This window comes from Homo sapiens, chromosome 1 (genome assembly GCF_000001405.40).
Source record: "Homo sapiens chromosome 1, GRCh38.p14 Primary Assembly".
NCBI classification, from domain to species: Eukaryota; Metazoa; Chordata; class Mammalia; order Primates; family Hominidae; genus Homo; species Homo sapiens.
Window position 1 is genome coordinate 35,864,543 of NC_000001.11, and position 14,338 is coordinate 35,878,880.

At 43.3% G+C, this 14,338-nt stretch overlaps 1 protein-coding gene and 1 pseudogene across 1 annotated transcript in view; one reads left to right on the plus strand and one right to left on the minus strand.

Moving 5' to 3' along the window:
- Positions 1-5,218: 5,218 nt before the first annotated feature.
- The window catches only part of AGO1 (argonaute RISC component 1), a 60,772-nt gene continuing 51,652 nt past the window's right edge, over positions 5,219-14,338 (plus strand). The window contains exon 1 of the mRNA NM_001317123.2: positions 5,219-5,361. The gene's annotated coding sequence lies outside the window, so the exon portion shown is untranslated. The remainder of the gene's footprint in view (positions 5,362-14,338) is intronic.
- CFAP97P1 (CFAP97 pseudogene 1) lies at positions 8,725-9,230 on the minus strand (annotated as a pseudogene).

The following is a 14,338-nucleotide window of genomic DNA, read 5'->3' on the forward strand; positions in this document are numbered from 1 at the left end:
GAATTCATACATTAATAATGAAGAGTTTTAAAATGTTTTGTTAAAAAAGATCCCAAATGCAATGACAATTTATTTTACATATTACCTTTCAATACATAACATTTTATATAGTTGTAAAGTTAATACATTTAGGATTTTATATTCTGATATTTGCATTAACTGTCACATAATGAGCAGTCATTGTTTTTCAAGACTGAAATCATGTGGTCATAATTTATTTGGCAAGTATTTACTGAACATCTATGTCCTGCCTGACACTGTTGTAGGCCCTGGGGCTACAAAGATAAATAATATATGGTTTTCTTCATGCTTTTGAGACTTACATGTTTAGTGGGAGAAAGAGGATGAGGAAGAGAAGGCTATGTCAACAAAGGACACCAGCAAAGTGTTTTATATTGCACCACAGGAAAAGCAGGAAGGGACACATGGGAGGGAATGTCAGGAAGTTGTCATGAAGGCAGAAGGACATGACCTGAGTTTTGAAATACGAGTGGGTTTCACTAGTCAGATGGAGATGTTGAAGTTACAGGGTGTTAATAAATCATATCCTCTTCTCTGTACCAGTTCAGAACAAATTGAAAAGTAGATATCAAAAAGTTGGAGGAAGGGCCGGGCATGGTGGCTCACGCCTGTAATCCCAGCACTTTGGAAGGCCGAGGCGGGAGGATCACTTAAGTTCAGGAGTTCAAGACCAGCCTGGCCAATATGGTGAAACTCCATCTCTACTAAAAATGCAAAAATTAGCTAGATGTGGTGGTGCACACCTATAGTCCCAGCTACTCAGGAGGCTGAAGAAAGAGAATCGCTTGAACCTGGGAAGCAGAGGTTGTAGTGAGCTGAGATCATGTCACTGTACTCCAGCCTGGGCAACAAGAGACTCTACTTCAAAAAAAAGAAAAAAAAAAAAAAAAACCTGGGTGTGGTGGCTCAACTTGTAATTCCAGCACTTTGGGAGGCCAAGGCGGGTGGAACACCTGAGGTCAGGAGTTTGAGACTAGCCTGGCCAACATGGTGAAACTCTGTCTCTACTAAAAATACAAAATTAGCCGGGTGTAGTGGCGCACAGCACACACCTGTAGTCCCAGCTACTCGGGAGGCTGAGGCAGGAGAACCTCTTGAACCTGGGAAGTGGAGGTTGCAGTGAGCCAAGACTGTGCCACTGCACTCCAGCCTGGGTGACAAGAGTGAAACTCCGTCTCAAAAAAAAAAAAAAAAATTGGCTGAAGAGCAAGGTGTTGGCTTACTTGCTAATAAGACTTAGATAAGAGGGCATGTTTAGAAGTGAGCACAGGCCAGGTGTGGTAGCTCACGCCTGTTAGCCCAGCACTTTGGGAGGCTGAGGTGGGCCGGTCACAAGGTCAGGAGTTTGAGACCAGCCTGGCCAACACAGTGAAACCCCCTCTCTACTAAAAATACAAACATTAGCTGGGTGTGGTGGCGGGTGCCTGTAATCCCAGCTATTTGGGAGGCTGAGGCAGGAGAATTGCTTGAACCTGGGAGGCAGAGGTTGCAGTGAGCCAAGATTGCACCACTGCACTCCAGCCTGGGTGACAGAGCACGACTCCATCCTGAAAAAAAAAAAAGTGAAGGCAAATGGTAATGCTAGTATTCCTCTTTATTTCATGTGCTTTGCCTACCTACCTAGTCACAGTAAGTGCAGGACAACCTTGGCTTTCCACACAGTGAAGGTGCCTGCTTCTCTAAGCCTACTGACTAAGCACGGTAGGATAAAATTGAAAAAAAACAAAACAAAACATTGAAAATAGCACCAGCCAGCTGTGGCGGCTCACGCTTGTAATCTTGGTACTTTGCGAGGCCAAGGTGGGTGGATCACTTGAGCTCAGGAGTTCAAGACCAGCCTGAACAACATGATGAAACCCCATCTCTACAAAAAAAAGAAAAAAAATAGGCATGGCACGCTCCTGTAGCCCCAGCTACTCAGGAGGCTGAGGTGGAAGGATCACCTGAGCCTGGTGGGTGGAGGCTGAAGCCATGATTGTGCCACTGCACTTGAGCCTGGGTGACAGAGCAAGACAGTCTCAAAAAAAAAAAAAAAAAAAAAAAAAAAGAAAGAAAGAAAAGAAAGAAAAAAGAAAATAGCACCAAAAATGTAAAATACTTAGGGATAAGTTTGAAAAAAAAAAGATGTGCAAGATCTGTTCATTGAAAACCAGAAAACATTACTGAGAGAACTGAAAGACAACCTATCCAAATGGAAAAATACACTATGTCCATGGATGAAAAGACTCAATATTGTTAAGGTGTTATTTGTCCCCAAATTGATTTGTAGATCTAACACAACCCTAATCAAAAGTCAGCTGGCTTTTTTTTTTTTTGTAGAAATGTATGGTTGATTCTAAAATTTATATGGGAATGAAAAGGACCTACAATAGACACACACACACACACACACACACACACACACACACACACACTTTAGAAAGAAAAACATAAAAACATAGTTGGATAACTTATACTACCTGTGGAGGGCAGATTCTAAGATGGCCCCATGACCATCTATTGCTTCTAACCAATAGAATATGGTGAAGGTGATGGGATGCCATTTGTGATTGCATTAAGTTATAAAAGCCTCTCTTGCTAGCAGATCCACTCTAGAGTCTCTTCCTCTTCTCCTTTCTGGCCATGTTGAGGAAGCTCATGTAGCAAGGAACTGGGGAGGCCCCTTGAAGCTAAGGGTGCCCACCAACAGCCAAACAACAAAAAACTGAAGCTCTCAGTTTCCGTTTGCTAACTACCATGTGAGCTGGAAAGCGAATTATTTTTCAGTCCAGTCTCCAGATAAGAGTCCAGCCCTGGCTTATATACACCTTGACCGCAGTCTCTGAGATGCTTCACAGAGGATTTAACTAAACCATGCCTGGCCTCTTGACCCACAGAGACTATGAGATAATAAATATGTGTGTGTTAAGCCTCTACATTTTTCTTTTCTTTCTTTTTTTTTTTTTTTTTTTTGAGACAAAGTCTCGCTCTGTCGCCCAGGCTGAAGTGCAGTGGCACGATCTCGGCTCACTGCAAACTCCACCTTCCAGGTTCAAGTGATTCTCCTGCCTCAGCCTCCCAAGTAGCTAGGATTACAGGCTTGCAACACCATGCCCGGCTAATTTTTGTATTATTTATTTATTTATTTATTTTTGAGATAGAAACTCACTCTGTCACCCAGGCTGGAGTGCAGTGGTGCAATCTCGGCTTACTGCAAGCTCCGCCTCCCAGGTTCAAGCGATTCTTCTGCCTCAGCCTCCCAAGTAGCTGGGACTACAGGCATGTGCCACCATGCCCGGCTAATTTTTATATTTATTTATTTATTTTTTTAAGTCAGGATAACGTTTCACCATATTGGCCAGGCTGGTCTCGAACTCCTGACCTCGTGATCTGTCTGCTTCTGCCTCCCAAAGTGCTGGGATTACAGGCGTGAGCCACTGTGCCTGGCTAATTTTTGTATTTTTAGTAGAGACGGGGTTTCTCCATGTTGGCCAGGCTGGTCTCAAACTCCTGACCTCGAGTGATCCACCCGCCTCAGCCTCCCAAAGTGCTGGGATTACAGGTGTGAGCAACCACACCTGGCCAAGCCTCTAAATTTGTAGTAATTTGTTATGCATCAATAGATAACTAATTACACTATCTGATGTCAAGATTTATTATATAGCCACAGTAATCAAGACAGTATGGTATTTGGCATAAAGAGACACGCGGAACAGAATAGAGAGTCCAGAAATAGGCCCAGACATACATAACCAGTTGATTTTCAACACAAGTGCTAAGGCAATTTAATGGAGGCAATGCTTTCCACAAATGATGCTGGAACAATTGGATAGCCATGAGCAAAAAATTGAATGTTGATCTTTACCTTTCACCATACACAAAAATTTGCTGGAAATGGATTAGGGACTTGCTGGGCATGGTGGCTCACATCTGTAATCCCAGCGCTTTGGGAAGCCGATGCTTGAGACCAGGAGTTCAAGACCAGCCTGGGCAACATAGCAAGACTCCATCTGTACGGAAAAAAAAAAAAAAAAATTAGCCGGGAGTGGTGGTGTGATCCCAGCCACTCTGGAGGCTGAGGTGGGAGGATGGCTTGAGACTGGAAGGGCGAGGCTGCAAGCTGCAGTGAGCTATGATGGCACCACTGCACTCCACTCTAGCCTGGGTGACAGAGTGAGCCATTTCTCCAAAAAAAAAAAAAAAAAAAGGAAATGTTTAAAAGACTTTTATAGACAAATGGTCATAGCAATTTCATTTGTAATGGCACCAAGCTGAAAACAACCCCCCAAATGTCCATCAACATGTGAATGAATATACAAATTGTCATATATCCATACAATGGAGCACACTCAGCAGTAAAATGGAACAAACTTTTTTTTTCTCCTTTCTTGTTGGGAAAAGTGATGGTCAGGTCCAGGGAGACGAACTATTGATTTACACAACAACATAGGTGAATCTCAAAATACTTGTAGTGAGTGGAACAAGCCAGACCCCCTCTCCCCCAAATTATTCCAGTTATATAAAATACTATAAAATGAAAACTTATCTATGGCGACAGAAAAGAGATTAGCAGTTGCAGAGGGAAGGGCAGAGGGGGACGAGAGGCAGGAAACAAAGAGGCAGGATTAAAGTTTGGCGGGGAATGAATAGGGTCGTTATATTGATTGTTGTGAAGGTTTCATGTGTGTATATTTGTTTCAAAACTCATCAGACCGCACACTTTAAACGTGTGTAGTTTTTTTTTTTTTTTTTTTTTTTTAGTTTCACTCTTGTTGCCCAGGCTGGAGTGTAGTGGTGCGATCTCGGCTCACTGCAACCTCCGCCTCCCGGGTTCAAGCGATTCTCCTGCCTCAGTCTCCCGAGTAGCTGGGACTACAGGTGTCTGCCACCACGCCCGGCTAATTTTGTATTTTTACTAGAGACAGGGTTTCGCCATGTTGGTCAGGCTGGCCTCCAACTCCTGACCTCAGGTGATCCACCTGCCTCCGCCTCCCAAAGTGTTGGGATTACAGGCGAGAGCCACTGCGCCCGGCCATGTGCAGTTTATCGAATGTCAGTTATGCCTTAATAGAAGTTGGGGCCTTGGGAAGCGGAAGAACTCAAACTTCCGGCAGACTCGCGGATCTAAATTTACGGACGGAGGGAGGAGCTAGATCGTGCATGCTCAGTCCTTCCTCTACGTTCACCAATCAGATGCCAGTTGCGTGATGGCGTGGGTGGAGCCAAATGTGGACCTGTGAGGACGCCACGTGAGAGGGAAGCCCGTGAGGCAAGCGCCTCAGGAGTGCGTGAGGCCCACGCAGAACTCGGGGAGCCTTTTATCCTGAGGACACAGGGGAAGAATTGGAGGACTATATTCAGGCAAGTAATTTAATCCGGTGTGCATTTTAAAGCAGCAGTTTGTAGCTGTGTTGAAAATGGGCTCAAGAGCGTGGGGAACGACCTGTTGTTGGCAGGCTGTGGAGATATTTATATATTTTTCTTTAATTTTTAATTTTTATTTATTTAATTTTTTTTCCTGTCAGCCTTCTCTTAAACCGTGAACTCTAGAGGGAAAGGACCTCATATTTATCACCCAAGCGTTCCTGCCCTACGTGTACCCCTCCGCCTGTGGCTGGGAGTCCATATGTTTTTGTTGAAGGGGTTGACTAATCTCAGGTCACACTGCTTGTTAGAGCTTGGATTCAAATCTAGGTCTTTTTGTCGTCAAAAGAAAAATAATATAACATTTTTTGTTGTTGTTTTTTGTTTTTTTTTTTGAGACGGAGTCTCACTCTGTCGCCCAGGCTGGGGTGCAGTGGCGCCATCTCGACCCACTGCCAGCTCCGCCTCCCAGGTTCACGCCATTCTCTTGCCTCAGCCTCCCGAGTAGCTGGGACTATAGGCGCCCGCCACCACGCCCGGCTAATTTTTTGTATTTTTAGTAGAGACGGGGTTTCACCGTGTTAGCCAGGATGGTCTCGATCTCTTGACCTCGTGATCTGCACGCCTCGCCTCCCAAAGTGCTGGGATTACAGGCGTGAGCCACCGCGCCTGGCCATATGTATGTTATAAAGGAGAGTATTTGAACAGACACCTATTATCCACCATTCATTTTATCTCCTCCCTACTGAGAGAGAAAATGAATATTATTTTTACCCTTATTTTGGTTTTTTACCTTTATCTTTTGAGATATTCTGTGTGCTACTTCATAATCCATTCCCATTCTTTCCCCTCTGGGATGTAACTACCATCTTGACATTTGAGTTTACCCTTGCTTTTTCTGTATTGTTTAATATGTATATTTGTATCCTTAAACCACATAGTTTACTTTTGCATAGTTTTGAATTTTACAAACTAAGAGTCATACCATAAGCATTCTTCTGCAGCTTGTTTGTTGTCACTCAGTATCATGTTTCTGAGATTTATGTATATCACAATTCATGTATCTGTTCTATTATGGATGGATTTAGTGTAGTTTTCAATATTTTGCTATTACAAACAGTGCTGCTAAGAACATTCTTGTGCCTATCTCCTCTTGGCAATGCAGAAGATTTTCTGTAGTGGAATTGCTGTTTTACAGGGTGTGCACGTCTTCAACTTTACCAAAGAGTGTTGGTTGTACCAGTTTACACTCCCACCAACAGATCATTATTCTACCTCCTTAACTTTTGCCTGATTTAGTGGGTGAAATTGATGTCTCATTGTGGTCTTTGTATTTTCCTTATAAATAATGAGATTAGGCTGGGCGAGGTGGCTCATGCTTGTAATCCCAGCACTTTGGGAGGCCGAGGTGGGTGGGTCGCCCGAGATCAGGAGTTCGAGACCAGTCTGGTCAACATGAAACCCCATCTCTACTAAAAATATAAAAATTAGCCGGGTATGGTGGCGCACACTTGTAGTCCCAGCTACTCAGGAGGCTGAGGCAGGAGAATCACTTGAACCCAGGAGGCGGAAGTTGCAGTGAGCAGAGATCTAGCCACTGCACTCCAGCCTGGTGACAGAGCAAGACTCCGTCTCAAAAAAAAAGAAAAAAAAAAGATTAAACTTTAAAAACATGATTTTTAGTCTGGGTGTGGGGTGGCCCATGCTTGCAATCCCAGCACTTTGGGAGGCCAAGGTGGGAGAATTGCTTGAGTCCAGGAGTTCAAGACCAGCCTGGGCAACATAGTAAGACTCCATCTCTATAAATAAATAATGATTTTTGCCCTTTTCTTCTGTGAAAGAGCTGTAAATGACTTTTGCCTTAAAAAAAAAATAATTGTTGCCTGGGTGCGGTGGCTCACGCCTGTAATCCCAGCACTTTGGGAGGCTGAGGTGGGTGGATCACGAGGTCAGGAGATCGAGACTATCTTGGCTAACACAGTGAAACCCCATCTCTACTAAAAATACAAAAAAATTAGCCGGGTGTGGTGGCGGGCGCCTGTAGTCCCAGGTACTTGGGAGGCTGAGGCAGGAGAATGGCATGAACCCGGGAGGCAGAGCTTGCAGTGAGCCAAGATTGCACCACTGCACTCCAGCCTGGGCGACAGAGCGAGACTCCATCTCAGAAAAAAAAAAAAAAAAGACTGAAGTGTTCTGTTATTCCTTGAACATTTGGCAGAACTCACCTGTACCATTTGATTTTATTTTTTGTGGGAAGATTTTAAACTAATGACTCAATTTCTTTTTTTTTTTTTTTTGAGACGGAGTCTCGCTCTGTCACCCAGGCTGGAGTGCAGTGGCATGATCTCGGCTCACTGCAGCCTCTGCCTCCCAAGTTCCAGCGATTCTCCTGCCTCAGCCTCCTGAGTAGTCGGGATTACAGGCATGTGCCATCACACCCGGCTAATTTTTGTATTTTTAGTAGAGACAAGGTTTCACCACATTGGCCATGCTGGTCTTGAACTCCTGACCTCAGGTGATCTGCCCATCTTGGCCTCCCAAAGTGCTGGGATTACAGATGTGAGCCACCGCGCCTGGCCCGACTCAATTTCTTTAATCATCCTAGCTAAGCCATTTTAGCTAATGGTTTGAAAGTTTTATTTCTATTCTTTTTAATTTTATTTCTATTCTTTTTTTTTCTTTTAGAGACAGGGTGTGGCTCTGTCGCCCAGGCTGGAGGGCAGTAACATGATCATAGCTCACTGTAACCTCAACTCCTGAGCTGAAGTGATCCTCCTTCCTCAGTCACCCGAGAAGCTAGGACTACAGTGATGTACCACTGGGCCCAGCTAATTTTTTAATTTTTTTGTGGAAACAGAGTCTTGGTATGTTGCCCAGGCTAGTCTTGAACTCTGGGCCTCAAGCGATTCTCCCACTTCAGTCTCCCAAAGCACCAAAGCACTAGGATTATAGGTGTGAGCCACCATGCTTGGGTCTATTTCTGTTCTTTTCAGTTTTTTTGTTTGTTTGTTTGTTTGTTTGTTTGTTTTTGTGATGGGGGCCTTGCTATTTTTCCCAGGCTGGTCTTGAACTCAGGGCTCTGGTGATCCTCCCACCTCAGCTTCCCAAGTAGCTAAGATTACAGGATTGTGCCACCATCCCTGGTTACTTGTTTTTTTTTTTTATTGGAGTATTACTGTCTATGCTTAGCAAAGTTTAAAGTTAATCAATACCTTTATCCTTGTCCTAAACAGTACAAGGATCTCTAGAACACTTTAGCTCTGATCACCCCATCTCCCAACTTACATGCTGTTGACCAGTATTTTAGTTCTGTCCCATTAAAAAAAGAATCTCTCTCTTTTTTTTTGGTATAAAAAAGTTTTATAACCAAGCTGTATGGACATTAGGGGGCTTAGGTCTTAGCAGCAGGCCACTGGATATGTCAAAACTGATTGCTTACTCTAACACCTCAGACCACTGGTAGCACTGGATGTCCTGGAAGCTCTTCTTAATGGGCTGTATTGGTCAAGAGTAGATCTCACTCATCTCGATGATGGTGGTGAGTTGAGATAACTTATATCGTGGTGATAGTCCCTCAGTTGTTTTGTTTCATACCAACTCTTGGTTTCATAGCTATAAGCTTTTTACAATAAAGGCAAATTTCCTCTTTCAGTTTCTTGTTGCTCCCTCTGGTCTGTTGAGAGCACTGTGATATAACTTAGGGGTATGACCAATCAGTCTTCCTGATTTTTCAGTCTGTCTTGACAGTTCTCTCAAAAGCCTCTCTTTTCCCGATCAGCTTCACCTCTTCTCTCGTGAAAGAGTACTTTTCCTAGATCAAAGTGATGTTTTTGCAATCCTTTTTTTATCTAATTGCAGGAAAGCTTCAAATCTAGTCTTGTCAGCTTCTTCAGTGCTCTCCAAATATCCCTCCATACTTCTTGACCACTTATATCAAATACGCATACCTTGTTTTATCATGCTTTGCTTTACTGCACTTTGCAGATACTGTGTTTTTTTTGTTTTGTTTTTACAAATTGAAGGTTTTTACCAACTGTACATCAAGCAAGTCTGTTGGTGCCAAATTTCCAACAGCATGTGCTCAAATTGTGTCTTTCTCACATTTTTGTAAATCTCATGATATTTCAAATGTTTTCATTATTACTGTATCTGTATGGCAATCTGTAAGCAGTGACCTGTGATGTTACTATTGCAATTGTTTTGGGGCACCATGAACCATGGCCAAATAAGATGGCAAATTTGATCTACCAATGTCATGGGCTTTGTTATTGTTTTAGAGACAGGGTCTCATTCTGTCACCGGGGTTGCTGAAGTGCAGAGGCATGATCATGGCTCACTGCAGCCTTGACCTCCTGGGCTCAATCGATCCTCCCACCTCAGCTTCCTGAGTAGCTGGGACTACAGGCATGCACCACCATGCCTGGCTCATTTAAAAGTTTTTTGTTGTTGTTGTAGAGATGGAGTCTCACTATAGTGCCCAGGCCGGTCTCAAACTCCTGGACTCAAGTGATCCTCCTGCCTTGGCCTCCCAAAGTGCTGGGATTATGGGCATGAGCCAACGTGCCCAACCTTATGTGTATTCTAAATGCTCCATGACAGGCCACTCCACCATCTCTCTCCCTCTCCTTGGGCCTCCCTATTCCTTGAGACACAACAATACTGAAAGTAGGCCAATTAATAACCCTGCAATGGCCTGTAAGTGTTCAAGTGAAAGGAGGAGTTGCACATCTCTTGCTTTAAGTCAGAAGCTAGAAATGATTAAACTTAGTGAGGAAGACATATAGAAAGCTGAGAAGGCCAAAAGTTAGGCCTGTTGCACTGCACAACTAACCAAATTGTCAATGCAAAGGAGAAGTTCTTAAGGAAATTAAGAGTGCTAATCCAGTGAACACATGAATAGTAAGAAGCAAAATAACCTTATCTGATATGGAGAAAGTTTTAGTGATCTGGAAAGAAGATCAAACGAGCCATAACATTCCCTTAAGCCAAAGCCTAATCCAGAGCAAGGCCCTAACTCTCTTCAATTCTGTGAGTGCCAACAGAGGTAAGGTAGCTATAGAAGAAAAGTTTGAAGCTAGTAGAGATTGGTTCATGAGGTTTAAGGAAAGAAGCCATCTCCATAACATAAAAGTCGAAGGTGCTTATGTAGAAGCTGCAGCAAATTAGCCAGAAGATCTGACTAAAATAATTGATGAGAGTGGCTACACTGAACAACAGAGTTTCAGTGTAGATGAAACAGCCTTCTGTTGGAAGAAGATGCCATCTAGAACTTTCATAGCTAGAGAGAAATCAATGCCTGGCTTCAAAGCTTCAAAGCACAGGCTAACTCTTTTATTAGGGTCTAATGTAGCTGGTGACTTTAAATTGAAACCAGTCCTCCGTTACCATTATGAAAAGCCTAGAGCCTTTAAGAATTATGCTGTGTCTACTCTGCCTGTGCTCTATAAGTGGAACAACAAAGCCTGGATGATAGCACATTTTTTTTTTTTTACAGCATGGTTTACTGATTTATTTATTTATTTTTTGAGACAAAGTCTCGCTTTGTCGCCCAGGCTGGAGTGCAGTGGTGCGATCTTGGCTCACTGCAACCTCCGCCTCCTGGGGTCAAGTGATTCTCCTGCCTCAGCCTCCTGAGTAGCTGGGATTAAAGGTGCATGCCATCATGCATGGTTAATTTGTGTATTTTTAGTAGAGATGGGGTTTCACTATGTTGGTCAGGCTGGTCTTGAACTCCTGACCTAGTGATCTGCCTGCCTTGGCCTCTCAAAGTGCTGGGATTACAGGCATGAGCCACCGTGCCCAGCTGGTTCACTAAATATTTTAAGTCCACTCTTTAGATCTACTGCTCAGAAAAAAAGAGTTCTTTCAAAATATTACTGCTCCTTGACAGTGCACCTGGTCACCCAAGAGCTCTGATGGAGTTGTACAAGGAGAATAATGTTGCTTTCATACCTACTTACACAACATCCATTCTGTAGCCTATGGATCAAGGAGTAATTTCAACTTTTAAGTCATTATTTAAGAAATACATTCCATATACAATGATTCCCATAATGGATCTGGGCAAAGTAAATTGAAAACCTTCTGGAAAGGATTCACCATTTTAGATGCCATTAAGAACATTCATAATTCATGGGAGGAGGTCCAAATATCAACAAAAATAAGGGTTTGGAAGACATTGATTCCAACTGTCATGGATGACTTTGAGGGGTTCAAGACATCAGTGGAGGAGATAATTGCAGATGTGGTGGAAACAGCAAGAGAACTAGAATCAGAAGTGGAGCCTGAATATGTGACTGAATTGCTCAAATCTCATGATAAAACTTGAACAGATGAGGAAATCCTTTTTTTTTGTTTGTTTTTTGTTTTTTTTTTTTTGAGACGGAGTCTCACTCTGTTGCCCAGCCTGGAGTACAGTGGTGCGATCTCGGCTCACTGCAAGCTCCGCCTACTGGGTTCACACCATTCTCCTGCCTCAGCTTCCCGAGTAGCTGGGACTACAGGCGCCTGCCACCATGCCCAGCTAATTTTTTGTATTTTTAGTAGAGACTGGGTTTTACCGTGTTAGCCAGGATGGTCTTGATCTCCAGACTTCGTGATCCGCCCACCTCGGCCTCCCAAAGTGCTGGGATTACAGGTGTGAGCCACTGTGCCCGGCTGGAAATCCTTCTTATGGATGAACAAAGAAAGTGATTTCTTGAGGTGAAATTGACTCTGGTGAAAGTGCTGTGAACATTGTTGAAATGTCAACAATATATTTAGAATATTGCATAAACCTAGTTGATATGGCAGTGACAGTGTTTGAGAGGATTGACTCCAATTTTGAGGGAAGTTCTACTGTGGGTAAAATGCTATCAAACAGTATTGCATGCTATAGAGAATTTTGTTTTTTAAGAGACAGGCTTTGGCTGTGTCCCCCAGGCTGGAATGCAGTGGTGCAGTCATGGTTCACTGCAGCTTCGACCACCTGGGCTGGGCTTAAGTGATCCTCCTGCCTCAGCCTCCTGAGTAGTTGGGACTGCAGGCATGCTCCTCCACACCTGGCTAATTTTTCTATTTTTTGTAGAGAGGGGATCTTACTCTATTGCCTGTGCTCATCCAGGGCAGCCTGTCCAAAGCTGCTAGGCTTTCCTGTTCTGCCAGGCCAAGTTTAGGGTTTTGGGGCCTTCGTGTGTGCTAGAGAAGATGCAGGAAAATAGGCTTGATCTGGGTCAGTTCGGTTTCAGGCTGGGTGAAACTGAACCGTGAATCTGCATAGAGTGTCAGAACCAGGGACAGCTCCTCCTGTCACCTTTGCTGCCTTTCCCCTGGCTTGGGCTAGGGAGCGAATGGGCAGATTTCGTGATGGTATACTTCTCTAGCTTCTTTTCTCAGTGCTTCTTCCTTCCATTTTTATGCAAGAATATTACTACTGATAGTTCCTGGTGTAATGTGCTATTTCTCACTTCATACTTTCTGTTAATGCTGCTTAGTACACCTTTCTCCCATCTTTCCTTTGCCTGGCTAATTCCTGCTCATCCTCACAGGCCTGTTTAAGTAGATATCTCTTCTATGTAACCTACCCTGATTATCCCAGACTAGATTAGACATACCTCCTCTTAGTTCCCATGTCGCCCATGTGCCTCTGTCATTACACTTAAAGTTTCATTGAAATTATCATCTATACTGTCCAGTACAGTGGCCACTAACCACATGTATTAAGCATTTGAAATGTGGCTAGTCTGAATTGAGATGTGTTATGTGTAAAATACACACTGAATTTCAGACTTACATAAAAATATAAAATATTAGTAATTTTTTTTTTTGAGAAGGAGTCTTGCTTTGTCACCCAGGCTGGAGTTCAGTGGCATGATCTCGGCTCACTGCAACCTCTGCCCCCTGAGTTCAAGTGATTCTTCTGCCTCAGCCTCCCCAGTAGCTGAGTAGCAGGCGAGCGCCACCACGCCCAGCTAATTTTTGTATTTTTAGTAGAGATGGGGTCTCACCATATTGGCCAGGCTGGTCCTGAACTCCTGACCTCATGATCTGCCCACCTCGCCTTCCCAAAGTGCTGGGATTACAGGGGTGAGCCACTGCACCCGGCCCAATATTAGTAATTTTTATATTGCTATGTTGATTTGGGGGGTTAAATATATTACTAAAATTAATTTCACCTGTTTCCTTTTTATTTTTATTTATTTATTTATTTATTTTTTGAGATGGAGTCTTGCTCTGTCACCCAGGCTGGAGTGCAGTGGTGCAGTCTCGGCTTATTGCAATCTCTGCCTCCCGGATTCACGCCATTCTCCTGCCTCAGCCTCCCGAGCAGCTGGGACTTTAGGCACCCACCACCATGCCTGGCTAATTTTTTTTGTATTTTTAGTAGAGATGGGGTTTCAACTTGTTAGCCAGGACAGTCTCAATCTCCTGATCTCATGATCCTCCCGGCTCGGCCTCCCACAGTGCTGGGATTACAGGTGTGAGCCACCACGCCCGGCTCCTTTTTAATTTTTATAACATAGCTAAAAGAAATTCTAAAATTACATATTTAGCTCATATGATACTCCTGTTGGACAGCACTGATATATGTATTTGTTTCTTCTTAGCGGTATGGACTGGCTCAATTACATCCTTGTATCTTTGAATTTCTGGGGCACACTACATGGGGATGGGTAGGGATACCTGATGCTCATCCTCAGAACTTGGAGGCTGGAGTAGCAAATGTCCAATAGACATTATTACATTATTTTCCGTCCAGGAACTCGGCCTCTTTCTCTTCTTAACTCAGGTTATTTTGTATGTCTTCTTATTGGTTCTTATAGATTTTCTCATACAAATCACATACATCTCATGAAGTTTATTTCCAAGAATTTTGAATTGGATATTTTATCATAATTAGTTATTACTGGTACCAGCAGTGAATGCTACAGATTTTTGGTTATTTTTTTGAATCCTTTTACTTATTTAATCTGTTAATTATACTACATTGATTTCT